Here is a 17,420-nt window from a genome sequence, read left to right on the forward strand (position 1 = left end):
GGACCACCTGAAACTGAGCCACGGGGAAAGCACAGAGAGAGGAAGTGGCCTCCGAGTGCACGCACAGCCAGGAGCCCCAGAACCCAGGCAGCGCCACTCTGCACGATGGGCAGAGGACACACAAAAAGGCAAAAATGGAGCCAAGAATTCCAGAGAACAGATGAACAATATTCAGGAGTATTAAAGAAGTATTGTTAAAAGTTATAAAATCATAAAGAACATAGTAAAAGAAATAAATGTAAACAAGTTGGAAAGAATAAATTAAAACTGCTACGGTTCACAGATAGTATAAATCTCTACAGAATCCAAGAGAATCTACAGAGAATTTATTAATTTGAATAAGAGGGTATGGAAAGGTTATGGATGGAAAAGTAATATTCAAAAGCAGTTTTGGCAATACAGCAGAAAATAATTTTAAATGATAGCATTTGCAATTGTGAGAGAGAGAGAAAAGAGAAGAAAAAACCTTATAAGCTATAAAAGAGACATCTAAAAAAATGTGTAATGTCTTTACAGAAAAGATGAGTAACTTTATTGAAAGATATAAAAGAAGACTAAAGTAAATCTTAATACAGTAAATATAGCAATTTTTCCAAAGTCAATCTGTAAATTTAATTTAATAAAATCATAATCCAAAAAGGACGATTTTTTCTGAATTTAAAACAAAGTGATTTTGAAGGCTGAAGGACAGCCAACACCATTTTAAAGACACAGAAGCAAAGACAAGCCCTGGCAGGGAGATATCGGTGCTTACGTTAGCCTTAGAAGAACTCAGAGGGTGCCACGGGCGCAGCAGAGCCTGGAGACCTGCCTGCCTCTGTGTGGGGCTCACGAAAGGGCAAAGCTGTTAGAGAACAGCAGGGTGAGATGGCCTCTGCAACGACTGGCGCCGGCCAACTGACTGATCAACCTCATACCATATATATCAATACATTCAAGATGCGTTAAAGGCCAGAATGTGAAAAAACCAAACCACAATGTTCAAAAGGATATCCAGGAGATGATATGGTTGTTTTAACTTGAGCTACTAAAGAATTCTTTAAACAACTCAGAACGCCATACATTGTTTTACAAATTGTTTTTTAGGCTGGGCATGGTGGCTCACACCTGTAATCTCAGCACTTTCGGAGGCCGAGATGGGTGGATCACCTGAGGTCAGGAGTTCAAGACCAGCCTGGCCAACACGGCGAAACCCCGTCTCTACTAAAAATATAAAAATTAGACGGTTGTGGTGGCACGCGCCTATAGTCCCAGCTACTCGGGAGGCTGAGGCAGGAGAATCTCTTGAACCCAGGAGGCAGAGGTTGCAGTGAGCCAAGATCATGCCATTGCACTCCAGCCCGGGTGACAAGAGTGAAACTCTATCAAAAAAACAACAAGATTAACCCATTAACTCATGTGTTAATAAGATGCGTCCACTCCTGTCAGAGAGTGAGCTCCTGGCTCCTACAAACAGCACCGTAAGCGCCACGCTGCGTCTGGTGAGAGTTGGAGAAGCAAAAACTCTGGCCCGTTGCTATTGACTACACTGATGCTCTGATACACCCAGCATTCAGCTGCTTTGGAGAGCAGTTTGTCGATAGCAGATTAACTTGAAAATGCGCAAATCTTGTGGCCTGCCGATTTCACATTGACGTGTCTAGACAGGGAGTGTAACTCTGGCGCACACTGATGGGGAGACAGGTGCGAGCTTTCTCACTGGCACTGCTTCAAAGATCAAAACATTGAACGTAATCTAACGGTTCCTTGGTGGGAGAGTGGAAAAGTAAACTATGGCATTTTTCCTACCGTGATGTTCTCTACGGCCCTCAGGATGGTGCAACAGAGCTCTGTCATCAGCAGGGGTCAATCCCAAAATATCCTAAGGAGTTGTTTTTAAAGTAAGCTTCAAAAGCAAAGAGACTGCCTTCCGTCCAGTAAAGATTTAAAGCACACCTGTAATTTATAGATGCTGAGTCTCATGGACTGAATTGTATCCTCAAAATTCCTGTGTTGAAGCCCGGCCCGCACATGTGGAGGGTGTGAGTCTGGAAATGCTCAGGGACCCCCGGGCTTCACAAGATGACTGAGACATTGGAGGAGGGGCCTGGGAGCCTGTGCTTGTGACCCCAACCCTTGGCTGGTGGAATAGGGGAGAGCCCAGGGCTAAGGGAGAGAAAGAACCAGTAACCCATGTGCCGGAGCCGCTCCGGGGCCTCAGTCTAGTCAGGATCCAGATCACACAGCCGTGATCGCCCACATCCCGTCCACAGAGCACTTGCTCTGTGTCCTTAGGTGAGCGGCCAGGGTGTTTCCTTTCCATGAGCAGATTCGGCTCAACTCATCCTCCTCTCACCCCAGACTCTCACCAGGCAGAAGAGGAACTGGATGGCTGACTGCAGAAGGGACCCATGAAGTGAGGGCGGCCAAGAGAAATAACGGCAAGGCTGGGGCTAGCGTTGCCGACGGCTGCTGGAAAAGGACTCACCAAGTCCCTCAGCTCGCTAGAGACAACCAATGCTCTCAGTGGCAAACACTGGGGTGGCAGACTGGGAAGGAGATAGTTTTTTTGAACTCATCCCAAGGATACCACCATATTTTAAAAAGTGCCAAGATGACAGTGCTCCCCCTTTTCTATGGGAGATAGGGAAAGGCCTCCTCTGCTTTTCTTCATGGTGGGAGGCCTTGCTAATTTCTCAGGCAAGGGGATGGCTCAAAGCAGGAGAAGTGTTCCTTGGCAAGCAATGAGTAGCGTCACTGTGACCAATAGCAGCATAGTTCTGGGCTGCATCGCGTACCCCAAAATCCATGCCTTGAAGTCCAGCCCCAGTGCCTGGGAATGTGTCCTGATTTGGGAAAGGGCCATTGCAGCTGGGCTTAGCTGAGAGGCAGTCACCTCGGAGTATGTGGGCCTAGTCCAATATGATGGTGTCCTCAGAGGCACAGAAACAGGTGCATGGGGGACAATGGCCACCTGGCCATGGGGAGAGAGATGGGGGAAGGACCACCAGCAACCATGAAGCCAGAGAGAGGCCCGAGCACAGCCTCCCTCACAGCCCCAGCGGGAGCCAGGCCTGCGGCACCTGGACCTGGGGCTTCTGGCCTCGGGACTGTGAGACGACCAACCTCTATTGTTTAAGTCGCCCAGTCTCGGTGCCTTGTTACGGCAGCTCTGGCAAATGCGTATACCACAGAAGCCAGAGGTTCCCTTCATGGGCCCACCCAGAGGAGCTGGAGAACCAGGAGAAAACATCATTCAGTGTTTAACCAAGGGGAGGGGTCAGACTTGAAATATGAGCCAATCCCAGATGTCGAAGGTCTCCTGGTGGTCTTTTATGGGCATTTAATATGCTATTTATAGTTTTCATCTGCACCTGTAGAAAATACATAATTGTCTCAAACTAAGACTCAGGGCAAAAAAGTGTGTCTGCAACATTGCAAGTCAGCCTGGTTGGATTACACAGATGTGGACAAGACCTTTTAAAAAATATCTTGTAACACCCCAGGCTGAGCAACCAACACTCCCCAGTGGACTAATGCAGAGCCACGCTGCAATCAAGTTCATCACAATCATGACTACTCCGATATTCGGACACTTCGCTAGCAGAAAGAGACTATTTTACTGACTCCTACTAGAAGCTCCAGTTCCTCTCCCAGCCTTTAAGGACTAGAAATCTCTCTAAAGAAACAGTATTGCTGGGTTGTAAATAAGACATCACTCCTCTAACAGAAATACAAAACATGATGGACCTTTTTTCTCTGCTTAAATTTATGAAGGTCATAGCTTTAGAAAGACCAATCAACACATCAGGTTCTTATTAAGTGTATTTAAGACGAAGGTAGGTCATTATCAACTATTTTCACAAAGGAACTAGGAACCGCATTTCACTCTTAATTATACATAAGTTGACTGTGCATTTTGGGGATTGTTCAAGATGACTTCTTAACGTCAGTGGCTTCTCCCTGTCACTTGGACGCTGTCCTCACACCCCCTGGCGTGCTCCCAGGGAAGACTAGCCAACTTGACCCCCTGCTGAAGCAACACAATTGGGGTCACAGCTCCCAGCAGAGGCAGGACTTCGCTCTCTTTGGGTGAGAGGCACCTGGAGGGGCTGCCACAGAACTACATGCACCCACCCAAGTCAGGCAGGTTCACCTGGTGGGGCTGACCCAGGACTGCATGCATGCACCTAAGTTGGGCAGATGTACCTGGAGGGGCTGCTCATGTCCCGTATGCACTCACCCCGGTCAGGCAGGTGCTTGGTAAACAGGCCCAGCTGCAAATGACAGAGGAGGCCAAGCAAACTGGGAACCTTCCTGAGGACAGATGATGGAGCTAGGAGACGGCATCTCTGAGATGCAGCAGAGACTTGCACCAGGAGCCAGGAGCCAGGCAGATGGAGAAGCAGGCATGGTTTAGAGTCCAGAAGGCAAAGCTTCTCCCTCAGAGCCGACTATGGGCAGAGTGTCCCAACCACCAGTGTCGACATTCTGAGTGGATGACTCTGTCGTGGGGCCTGTCCTGTGCATGCTAGGATGTTCAGCAGTATATCTGGCCTTGACCCACTAGTGGCCAGTAGCATGTCCCCCCTGGACAGCCCAAGTTATGACAACCAAAAATGTCTCTAGAGGCCGGGCATGGTGACTCACACCTGTAATCCCAGCACTTTGGGAGGCCAAGGTTGGCGGATCATCTTGAGGTCAGGAGTTTGAGACCAGCCTGGCTAACATGGTGAAACCCTGTTTCTACTAAAAATACAAAAAATTAGCCAGGTGTAGTGGTGAGCGCCTGTAACCCCCGCTACTCAGGAGACTGAGGCACGAGAATTGCTTGAGCCTGGGAGGAGGAGGTTGCAGTGAGCTGAGATTGCTCCACTACACTCCAGCCTGAGCAACAGAGCAAGACTGTCTCAAAAAACAACAACCACAACAAAATGTCTCTAGACGTTGCCAAATGATGTCCCTGAGTTGGGTGATGCAAAATTACCCCTGGTTCAGAAGCAATTGAGTCTTTAGAAGCACAAGTCCAGCCTATCTGGGGTCCCGGCAGGTTTTGAAGATGGAGACTCGGGTATAGGAGGAGACACACCCATGCACCAGACTCTTAAACAAAGTCCTAGCTGTGCTCTCAGGACCGATCAGAAGCCAGCACTGAAGCAGCAGCACGAGGTTAGAGCCACCAGAAGGAAGCGTGACTCGATCCCGAGGCCCGGATTGCTGAGTTGGGCCTCCTCAAGTCCTCCCTTGGCACCAGCAGAATTACTCAAAAGCCTGTGTCTGCATCTTAGAGGCAGATGGCTACAGCCTGCTCTGGGAGGGAGCGGATGGCCAGGAGAGAGCCGGGGCCCTACCTGACGTCAGAACTGTCCTCCCAGCCCCAGCTCAGCCCGGATGCAACAGAAGCCAGAAGTGCACCCAAGGTGCAGGCAAGCAGGGATTGTTCAGCACAAATGCACTCGTCAGTTCTAACTTATTCTTAAGCTGACTCAGCAGAGTGCTTCTTCCTCTGCTCTGGGTGATCATGGAGGCCACCCCAGGCTTGTCTAATCTCTCTCAGCCAATCACAGGCCTCTGGCCCCAGGATAGCTAATTTGTGTCCACTTGGCTGTGCTGTGGTGCCCAGTTGTTTGGTCAAACACCAGTCTAAACTTGCTGCAGGGTATCTTTTAGGTATTATTATTATTATTATTATTATTATTATTATTATTATTATTATTATTATTGTTTTTGAGACAGGGCCTCTCTGTGTCACCCAGGCTGGAGTGCAGTGGAGGCTTCACAGCTCACTGCAGCCTCGACCTCCTGGAATCAAGCAATCCTCCCGCCTCAGCCTTCCAGGAGCTGGAACTACAAGCAGGAGCCACGTGATTAACATTGAAATCAGCAGATTTGAGTAAAGTAGATTACCTTCGTAATGTGAGTGGGCCTCGTCGAATCAGTTGAAGGCCTTAAGGGAAAAGACTGAGCTACCCTGAAGAGGAAGGAACTCTGTCTTCAGACAGCCTTGAGACTAGAACATCTACTCCCACTAGAATTCCCAGCCTGCTGGTCTGCCCTGTGAACTTGTGACTTGCCTGCCAGCCCCACAATTGTGTGAGCCAATTCCTTAACAAAAGCAAATTGCTGTCTCTCTCTAGATAGACAGATATAGATACAAATGACATAGATATATGCATACATACATATCTAAAATTTCATATATACACATGCACACATATCTAAAACTACATATATATGTACACATATCTATAACTGCATATATACATGTGCACACCTATGCATAGCTATGTATACACATGTGCACACCTATCTGTAACTACATATATATGTGAACACTTATTTGTAATCACATACACGCGTGGACACCTATCTAAAACCACATATACACATGTGCACATCTATCTATAACTACATATATACACGTGCACAGTTACCTGTAACCACATATGCACACGTGCACACCTATCTATACCACATATGCACACGTGCACACCTACGCATCACCACATATGCACACGTGCACACCTACGCATCACCACATATGCACACGTGCACACCTACGCATCACCACATATGCACACGTGCACACCTACGCATCACCACATATGCACACGTGCACACCTACGCATCACCACATATGCACACGTGCACACCTACGCATCACCACATATGCACACGTGCACACCTACGCATCACCACATATGCACACGTGCACACCTACGCATCACCACATATGCACACGTGCACACCTACGCATCACCACATATGCACACGTGCACACCTACGCATCACCACATATGCACACGTGCACACCTACGCATAACCACATATGCACACGTGCACACCTACGCATAACCACATATGCACACGTGCACACCTACGCATAACCACATATGCACACGTGCACACCTACGCATAACCACATATGCACACGTGCACACCTACGCATAACCACATATGCACACGTGCACACCTATCTATACCACATATGCACACGTGCACACCTATGCATAACCACATATGCACACGTGCACACCTATGCAGAACCACATATGCACACGTGCACACCTATGCAGAACCACATATGCACACGTGCACACCTATGCAGAACCACATATGCACACGTGCACACCTATGCAGAACCACATATGCACACGTGCACACCTATGCAGAACCACATATGCACACGTGCACACCTATGCAGAACCACATATGCACACGTGCACACCTATGCAGAACCACATATACACACGTGCACACCTATGCAGAACCACATATACACATGTGCACACCTATCTATACCACATATATACACGTGCACACCTATGCATAACCACATATGCACACGTGCACACCTATCTATAACCACATATATACCTATGTATGCATGTCTATACATGAGACCAGAGAAGTCCCGCAGTGGTCTCCATGTCTCATCCAGGACAGAGGAAGCATTCTACCGAGTAAATTTATGAATAAGTTTGGCTTGATGAGTGCATTTGTGATGAATAATCCCTGTTTGCCTCACTTTGCATGTGCTTCCTGGCTTCTGTTGTACACGGGCTGAGCTGGGGCTGGGAGGATGGTTCTGATGTCAGGAAAATCCCCAGCTTGCCCTGGCTGTCAGGTCCTTCTTAGAGCAGGTTGTAGCTATTGGTCACTCTCTGTATACACGTGTCTGTATATGTGTAAATCTTTCTGTGTTTGCGTCTACCTATCTGTCTGCATCTTTTTAGATCTGTTTCTTTGGAGAGCACTGACTAGTACAATCCCATTTGCTTGTAAAGGCAGTCTCATTCTGAAATAAGACAATCTTCCGAATTCTTGATGTAAGCCTCTGCCTGTCTGGGACATTCCCCGGAAAGCAGGGGAGGGACTTGGCGCTTCTTCTCTTCACCCCTCATGTGCCACCCCCCACTAGGCTGCCAAGGCAGGTCACCCAGTTCTGCCGGCCTCAGTCTCCTCCCTAGGTCGCTGGCTCCAGGTTTGAAAAGATGTGTATAGGGCAGGGATTATTGGCTCTTTCAGTTTATGGGAGCTGTTGCTCCTTTCTTCTACTTACTTGAGGGTTTATTATTTTTTAAGTAATTACTTTCCATAGACAATGGACCAGAAAACACCTGAAAGATAGCGACTAAGTTCAAGGTTGCTCCACGCCAGGCATGGTGCTCCTGGTTCGAGAGCTCCACTCACGTGGTCCTTACGAGAATCTGAGCAACATGAACACCGTTTTTCAGCTGTTGAACCTAAGACTGAACAAGGTTAAATAATTTATCCAAAGTCACAAGCTAGTAGTTGCAGAGCCAGCATTTGAAGTCAGACTTAGCTGAGTCCAAGCCCGTATTCTTAAGCACCACAATTTGCTTCCAGGCATCTTGTTTCTATAAAGCACTCAATGATTTTACTACAACGATCTTATTTATATGAGACTTAAGTCATTCAAATATGTTTTTAGGACATGTTAGTATAAAGACAAGGTATTGCCAAAAAGATTTTTTACCTTTCTTCCTTTTTGTTCTAGAAGGTCAATAATGAAATCTAACAAAATAATAATAAAAATAGCAGATAATAATCAATTAAATAACATTTGGTTTTATTTTCTTTTTAAAAATCTAAGAAAAAAGGGGTTCTGACAAATGTGACCAGAAAACCATACAATTCAGATATCCTTTTTCAACAATCATTTATGGGTGTTTCTTGTTATTTGAGAAAATTGAGTTAGGAACAGTGACTCCTCCAATCCACTTACAGTATGGAAAGCTGATATCACAGTACATTTTAAGTCCTTCTGTGGTGAACAGTCTCCTTTTATTTTGCTAATCATCATGGAGCAGAACTAAATATGAACACAGGAGTGGCAGCCTGGCTCAGCCAGCCCAGAAAAATGTCTTTAAAAATGAACTTGTCTAATAAACCTTAATTCCAAATACAGAACATAAGGAAGGAGAATTTACAAATCATGGTATTAGCAGTAAGAAAAGCAAACCAGTTAAAAGGAGTTAATAGAGAATAATGATTGTTAATATGGCCATGAAAATGGGAGAAAATGGTGACAAAACTGATTATCAAAGTAGAAAAGGTAACAAAATAATTCATGAATGATATCACGGATGCAAAAAAAAAAATTCTGATTGCATCAACAAAGATTTGTAGACGGTTGGGAGTAGTATGGAAGGAAGAATGTAAAAGTATTCTTTTTTGTAATTTACTTCAAACATTGCTAGGTTAATAGATATTGCCATTTTATAGTAGTATAAACAAAAATGCTACAATTATACTTTTAAAAGATGCATACCTTCCACATCACAGGAGGAAAAAAATGCTTAAAAAAATCATCATAGCAAAAGTGAAGAAAACTGAATTATGTCATGATAAATTTTTAGTAATTGTGTAATTTAGTGCTCAAAAATAGTTTAGTTCAGGTGTTTTATGCTTAATTTTGGTTACTTTCATCAGTAGAGTAATATATATAATTCCAGTTCCACATTTTTGATCCTCATGACCACTAGAGGGCAGAAGAGAAAAGTACAAGAGGCCCGAGATAGGTCAAATGAGCCTGATGCCATTTTGCAATGTGGGTTTTAAATGGCCTTCCCAACCAGGAATTCTGATTCGTGGTAGACACAGCTATGTCGGTGTGCCAATATGTGTATAGAAAACTCAATCCAGAATTTAAATATTTTTCCTAAATTAGGCCTTAAAATATTATTTTGCATAAAATAAGATGTAAAATAAGCATGTTTATATAAAAATATTCAAATTATTTGACCCAATAACTTCTAGGAGTTTATCCAAAGATAAAGACTGATGTATGTGGATGTTTATCATAGTGTTTTTTTTATCATGATGTATAATTGAAAATTTACCTAAGTAATCAACAATAGGGGATTGTACTAATAAATTATGGTACAGCTATATGATGGAAAACTCTAGCTGCTTTTAAAAATATTTAAGTGTTTTGGGGAAAAGTTATGAAATGTTAAGAGAATATTATAAAAAGTATGATTTGATATTTATGAATTATATAAACTGTGTTGATTTAAATATAGAAACATATCTAGATACTGATGATAAAAATATAAGTCTGGCTGTGGGAGTACAGATATAGAAGTAGAAATGTTCCAAAAAAAAAGGTCACAGTTGAAAAAAATATACCCCCTGTTAAAAGTTACTGTCTCTTCTTTATTACATTTAAATTTATTTTAAGCATTTATACCCTTCACTGGGAAAACTGACTAGCCATAAGCAGAAAACTGAAACTGGACCCCTTCCTTACACCTTATATGAAAATTAACTCAAGATGGAGTAAAGACTTAGATGTAAAACCCAAAGCCATAAAAACTCTAGAAGAAAACCTAGGCAACACCATTCAGGACATGGGCATGCGCAAAAACTTCATGACTAAAACACCAAAAGCAATGGCAACAAAAGCCAAAATTGACAAATGGGATCTAATCAAACTAAAGAGCTTCTGCGCAGCAAAAGAAACTAGCATCAGACTGAACAGGCAACCTAAGGAATGGGAGAACATATTTGCAATCTACTCATCTGACAAAGGGCTAATATCCAGAATCTACAAAGAAGTTAAACAAATTTACAAAAAAAAAAAAAAAAAACCAACCCATCAAAAAGTCGGCAAAGGATATGAACCGACACTTCTCAAAAAAAGACATTTATGCAGCCAACAGACATATGAAAAAAAGCTCATCATCACTGATCATTAGGTATTATGATTAGGCAAATCAAAACCACAATGAGATACCATCTCACACTAGTCAGAATGGCAATCATTAAAAAGTCAGGAAAAAATAGATGCTGGTGAGGCTGTGGAGAAATGGGAATGCTTTTATGCTGTTGGTGGGAGTGTAACTCGGTTCAACCATTGTGGAGGACAGTGTGGCGATTCCTCAAGGATCTAGAACAAGAAATATCATTTGACCCAGCAATCCCATTACTGGGTATAGACCCAAAGGATTATAAATCATTTTACTATAAAGACACATGCACACCTATGTTTATTGCAGCACTATTTACAATAGCAAAGACATGGAACCAACCCAAATGCCCATCAATGATAGACTGGATAAAGAAAATGTGGTACATATACACCATGGAATACTATGCAGCTATAAAAAAGAATGAGATCATGTTCTTTGCAGGGACATGGATGAAGCTGGAAGCCATCATCCTCAACAAACTAACACAGAAACAGAAAACCAAATACTGCATGTTCTCATTCATAAGTGGGAGCTGAACAATGAGACCACTTGGACTCAGGGAGGGGAACATCACACACCGGGGCCTGTCCGGGGTGAGGGGCAAGGGGAGGGAGAGCATCAGGACAAATACCTAATGCATGTGGGGCTTAAAACCTAGATGACAGGTTGATAGGTACAGCAAATCATCATGACACATGTATGTATATGTACCAAACCTGCACATTCTGCACATGTATCCTGGAACTTAAAGTAAAATAAAAAATAAAAATAAAATAGGTGGGTGGAGCCAAGATGGCTGAATAGGAACAGCTCCAGTCTACAGCTCCCAGGGTGAGTGACGCAGAAGACAGGTGATTTCTGCATTTCCATCTGAGGTACCAGGTTCATCTCACTAGGGAGTGCCAGACAGCGGGCACAGGACAGCGGGTGCAGCATACCGTGCGCGAGCTGAAGCAGGGCGAGGCATTACCTCACTCGGGAAGTGCAAGGGGTCAGGGAGTTCCCTTTCCTAGTCAAAGAAAGGGGTGACACACGGCACCTGGAAAATCGGGTCACTCCCACCCTAATACTGCACTTTTCCCACGGCCTTAAAAAACAGCGCACCAGGAGATTATATCCCACACCTGGCTCGGAGGGTCCTACGCCCACGGAGTCTCGCTGATTGCTAGCACAGCAGTCTAAGATCAAACTGCAAGGCTGCATCGAGGCTGGGGGAGGGGCGCCCGCCATTGCCCAGGTTTGATTAGGTAAACAAAGCAGCTGGGAAGCTCGAACTGGGTGGAGTCCACCACAGCTCAAGGAGGCCGGCCTGCCTGCCTCTGTAGGCTCCGCCTCTGGGGGCAGGGCACAGACAAACAAAAAGACAGCAGTAACCTCTGCAGACTTAAATGTCCCTGTCTGACAGCTTTGAAGAGAGTAGTGGTTCTCCCAGCATGCAGCTGGAGATCTGAGAACAGGCAGACTGCCTCCTCAAGTGGGTCCCTGACCCCCGAGCAGCTTAACTGGGAGACACCCCCCAGTAGGGGCAGACTGACACCTCACACGGCCGGGTACTCCTCTGAGACAAAACTTCCAGAGGAACGATCAGGCAGCAGCATTTGTGGGTCACCAATATCCGCTGTTCTGCAGCCACCACTCCTGATACCCAGGCAAACAGGGTCTGGAGTGGACCTCTAGCAAAGTCCAACAGACCTTCAACTGAGGGTCCTGTCTGTTAGAAGGAAAACTAACAAACAGAAAGGACATCCACACCAAAAACCCATCTGTACATCACCATCATCAAAGACCAAAAGTAGATAAAACCACAAAGATGGGGAAAAAACAGAGCAGAAAACTGGAAACTCTAAAAAGCAGAGCGCCTCTCCTCCTCCAAAGGAATGCAGCTCCTCACCAGCAATGGAACAAAGCTGGACGGAGAATGACTTTGACGAGTTGAGAGAAGAAGGCTTTGGACGATCAAACTACTCTGAGCTACAGAAGGAAATTCACACCAATGGCAAAGAAGTTAAAAACTTTGAAAAAAAAATTAGACGAATGGATAACTAGAATAACCAATGCAGAGAAGTCCTTAAAGGAGCTGATGGAGCTGAAAGTCAAGGGTCGAGAATTACGTGAAGAATGCAGAAGCCTCAGGAGCCGATGCGATCAACTGGAAGAAAGGGTATCTGTGATGGAAGACGAAATGAATGAAATGAAGTGAGAAAGGAAGTTTAGAGAAAAAAGTATAAAAAGAAATGAACAAAGCTTCCAAGAAATATGGGACTACGTGAAAAGACCAAATCTACATCAGATAGGTGTACCTGAAAGTGATGGGGAGAATGGAACCAAGTTGGAAAACACTCTGCAGGATATTATCCAGGAGAACTTCCCCAATCTAGCAAGGCAGGCCAACATTCAGATTCAGGAAATACAGAGAATGCCACAAAGATACTCCTCGAGAAGAGCAACTCCAAGACACATAATTGTCAGATTCACCAAAGTTGAAATGAAGGAAAAAATGTTAAGGGCAGCCAGAGAGAAAGCTCGGGTTACCCACAAAGGGAAGCCCATCATACTAACAGCGGATCTCTCGGCAGAAACTCTACAAGCCAGAGGAGAGTGGGGGCCAATATTCAACATTCTTAAAGAAAAGAATTTTCAATGCAGAATTTCATGTCCAGCCAAACTAAGCTTCATAAGTGAAAGAGAAATAAAATCCTTTACAGACAAACAAATGCTGAGAGATTTTGTCACCACCAGGCCTGCCCTAAAAGAGCTCCTGAAGGAAGCACTAAACATGGAAAGGAACAACCGGTACCAGCCACTGCAAAAACATGCCAAAATGTAAAGACCATCAAGGCTAGGAAGAAACTACATCAACTAACGAGCAAAATAACCAGCTAACATCATAATGACAGGACCAAATTCACACATAACAATATTAACTTTAAATGTAAATGGGCTAAATGCTCCAATTAAAAGACACAGACTGGCAAATTCGATAAAGAGTCAAGACCCATCAGTGTGCTGTATTCAGGAGAACCATCTCATGTGCAGAGACACACATAGGCTCAAAATAAAGGGATGGAGGAAGATCTACCAAGCAAATGGAAAACAAAAAAAAAGCAAGGGTCGCAATCCTAGTCTCTGATAAAACAGACTTTAAACCAGCAAAGATCAAAAGAGACAATGAAGGCCATTACATAATGGTAAAGGGATCAATTCAACAAGAAGAGCTAACTATCCTAAATATATATGCACCCAATACAGGAGCACCCAGATTCATAAAGCAAGTCCTGAGTGACCTACAAAGAGACTTAGACTCCCACACAATAATAATGGGAGACTTTAACACCCCACTGTTAACATTAGACAAGTCAACGAGACAGAAATTTAACAAGGATATCCAGGAATTGAACTCAGCTCTGCACCAAGCGGACCTAATAGACATCTACAGAACTCTCCACCCCAAATCAACAGAATGTACATTCTTCTCAGCACCACATCACACTTATTCCAAAATTGACCACATAGTTGGAAGTAAAGCACTCCTCAGCAAATGTAAAAGAACAGAAATTACAACAAACTGTCTCTCAGACCACAGTGCAATCAAACTAGAACTCAGGATTAAAAAACTCACTCAAAACCACTCAACTACATGGAAATTGAACAACGTGCTCTTGAATGACCACTGGGTACATAACGAAATGAAGGCAGAAATAAAGATGTTCTCTGAAACCAACGAGAACAAAGACACAACATACCAGAATCTCTGGGACACATTCAAAGCAGTGTGTAGAGGGAAATTTATAGTACTAAATGCCCACAAGAGAAAGCAAGAAAGATCTAAAATTGACACCCTAACATCACAATTAAAGAACTAGAGAAGCAAGAGCAAACACATTCAAAAGCTAGCAGAAGGCAAGAAATAACTAAGATCAGAACAGAACTGAAGGAGATCGAGACACAAAAAAAAAACTCTTCAAAAAATCAATGAATCTGGGAGCTGGTTTCTTGAAAAGATCAACAAAATTCATTGACCACTAGCAAGACTAATAAAGAAGAAAAGAGATGCAATAAAAAGTGATAAAGGCGATATCATCACCAATCCCACAGAAATACAAACTACCATCAGAGAATATTATAAACACCTCTACGCAAATAAACTAGAAAATCTAGAAGAAATGGATAAATTCCTGGACACATACACCGACCCAAGACTAAACCAGGAAGAAGTTGAGTCCCTGAATAGACCAATAACAGGCTCTGAAATTGAGGCAATAATTAATAGCCTACCAACCAAAAAAAGTCCAGGACCAGATGGATTCACAGCCGAATTCTACCAGAGGTACAAAGAGGAGCTCGTATCATTCCTTCTGAAACTATTCCAATGAATAGAAAAAGAGGGAATCCTCCCTAACTCATTTTATGAGGCCAGCATCATAGTGATACCAAAGCCTGGCAGAGACACAACAAAAAAAGAGAATTTTAGACCAATATCCCTGATGAACATCGATGCAAAAATCCTCAATAAAATACTGGCAAACCAAATCCAGCAGCACATCAAAACTCTTATCCATCATGATCAAGTTGGCTTCATCCCTAGGATGCAAGGCTGGTTCAATATATGCAAATCAATAAACATAATCCATCATATAAACAGAACCAATGACAAAAACCACATGATTATCTCAATAGATGCAGAAAAGGCCTTTGACAAAATTAAACAGCCCTTCATGCTAAAAACTCTCAATAAACTAGGTATTGATGGGCTGTATCTCAAAATAATAAAAGCTATTTGTGACACACCCACAGCCAATATCATACTGAATGGGCAAAAACTGGAAGCATTCCCTTTGAAAACTGGCACAAGACAGGGATGACCTCTCTCACCACTCCTAGTCAACATAGTGTTGGAAGTTCTGGCCAGGGCAATTAGGCAGGAGAAGGAAATAAAGGGTATTCAATTAGGAAAAGAGGAAGTCAAATTGTCCCTGTTTGCAGATGACATGATTGTATATCTAGAAAACCCCACTGTCTCAGCCCAAAATCTCCTTAAGCTGATAACCAACTTCAGCAGTCTCAGGATACAAAATCAATGTACAAAAATCACAAGCAGTCTTATACACCAATAACAGACAAACAGAGAGCCAAATCATGAGTGAACTCCCATTCACAATTGCTTCAAAGAGAATAAAATACCTAGGAATCCAACTTACAAGGGATGTGAAGGACCTCTTCAAGGAGAACTACAAACCACTGCTCAAGGAAATAAAAGAGGATACAAACAAATGGAAGAACATTCCATGCTCATGGGTAGGAAGAATCAATATCGTGAAAATGGCCATACTGCCCAAGGTGATTTATAGATTCAATGCCATCCCCATCAAGCTACCAATGACTTTCTTCACAGAATTGGAAAAAACTACTTTAAAGTTCATATGGAACCAAAAAAGAGCCCGCATCGCCAAGTCAATCCTAAGCCAAAAGAACAAAGCTGGAGGCATCACGTTACCTGACTTCAAACTATACTACAAGGCTACAGTAACCAAAACAGCATGGTACTGGTACCAAAACAGAGATACAGAACAATGGAACAGAACAGAGCCCTCAGAAATAGTGCCACATATCTACAACCATCTGATCTTTAACAAACCTGACAAAAACAAGAAATGGGGAAAGGATTCCCTATTTAATAAATGCTGCTGGGAAAACTGGCTAGCCATATGTAGAAAGCTGAAACTGGATCCCTTCCTTACACCTTACACAAAAATTAATTCAAGACGGATTAAAGACTTAAATGCTACACCTAAAACCATAAAAACCCTAGAAGAAAACCTAGGCAATACCATTCAGGACATAGGCATGGGCAAGGACTTCATGTCCAAAACACCAAAAGCAATGGCAACAAAAGACAAAATTGACAAATGGGATCTAATTAAACTAAAGAGCTTCTGCACAGCAAAAGAAACTACCATCAGAGTGAACAAGCAACCTACAAAATGGGAGAAAATTTTTGCAACCTACTCATCTGACAAAGGGCTAATATCCAGAATCTACAATGAACTCAAACAAATTTACAAGAAAAAAACAAACAACCCCATCAAAAAGTGGGTGAAGGATATGAACAGACACTTCTCAAAAGAAGACATTTATGCAGCCAAAAAACACATGAAAAAATGCTCATCATCACTGGCCATCAGAGAAATGCAAATCAAAACCACAATGAGATACCATCTCATACCAGTTAGAATGGCGATCATTAAAAAGTGAGGAAACAACAGGTGCTGGAGAGGATGTGGAGAAATAGGAACACTTTTGCACTGTTGGTGAGACTGTAAACTAGTTCAACCATTGTGGAAGTCAGTGTGGCGATTCCTCAGGGATCTAGAACTAGGAATACCGTTTGACCTAGCCATCCCATTACTGGGTATATACCCAAAGGATTATAAATCATGCTGCTATAAAGACACATGCACATGTATGTTTATTGTGGCACTATTCACAATAGCAAAGACTTGGAACCAACCCAAATGTCCAACAACGATAGACTGGATTAAGAAAATGTGGCACATATACACCATGGAATACTATGTAGCCATAAAAAATGATGAGTTCATGTCCTTTGTAGGGACATGGATGAAGCTGGAAACCATCATTCTCAGCAAACTATTGCAAGAGCAAAAAACCAAACACCACATGTTGTCACTCATAGGTAGGAATTGAACAATGAGAACACATGGA

At 43.2% G+C, this 17,420-nt stretch overlaps 1 protein-coding gene across 4 annotated transcripts in view, besides 1 other annotated feature; it reads right to left on the bottom strand.

Annotated features, from left to right (window-relative positions):
- RPS6KA2 (ribosomal protein S6 kinase A2) overlaps positions 1 to 17,420 on the bottom strand; it is a 453,410-nt gene that overhangs the window by 368,035 nt on the left and 67,955 nt on the right. The window lies entirely within an intron of this gene.
- Positions 5,850 to 7,049: an enhancer, noted in NCBI's record as "CDK7 strongly-dependent group 2 enhancer chr6:167196736-167197935 (GRCh37/hg19 assembly coordinates)". NCBI's record gives its function as "activates an origin of replication core promoter dependent on BRD2, BRD4, P300/CBP, MED14 and CDK7 cofactors, with strong dependence on CDK7, by STARR-seq in HCT116 cells {active_cell/tissue: HCT116}" and the evidence as "EXISTENCE:reporter gene assay evidence [ECO:0000049][PMID:35650434]".

Source organism: Homo sapiens, chromosome 6 (genome assembly GCF_000001405.40).
Source record: "Homo sapiens chromosome 6, GRCh38.p14 Primary Assembly".
Lineage (NCBI taxonomy): Eukaryota > Metazoa > Chordata > Mammalia > Primates > Hominidae > Homo > Homo sapiens.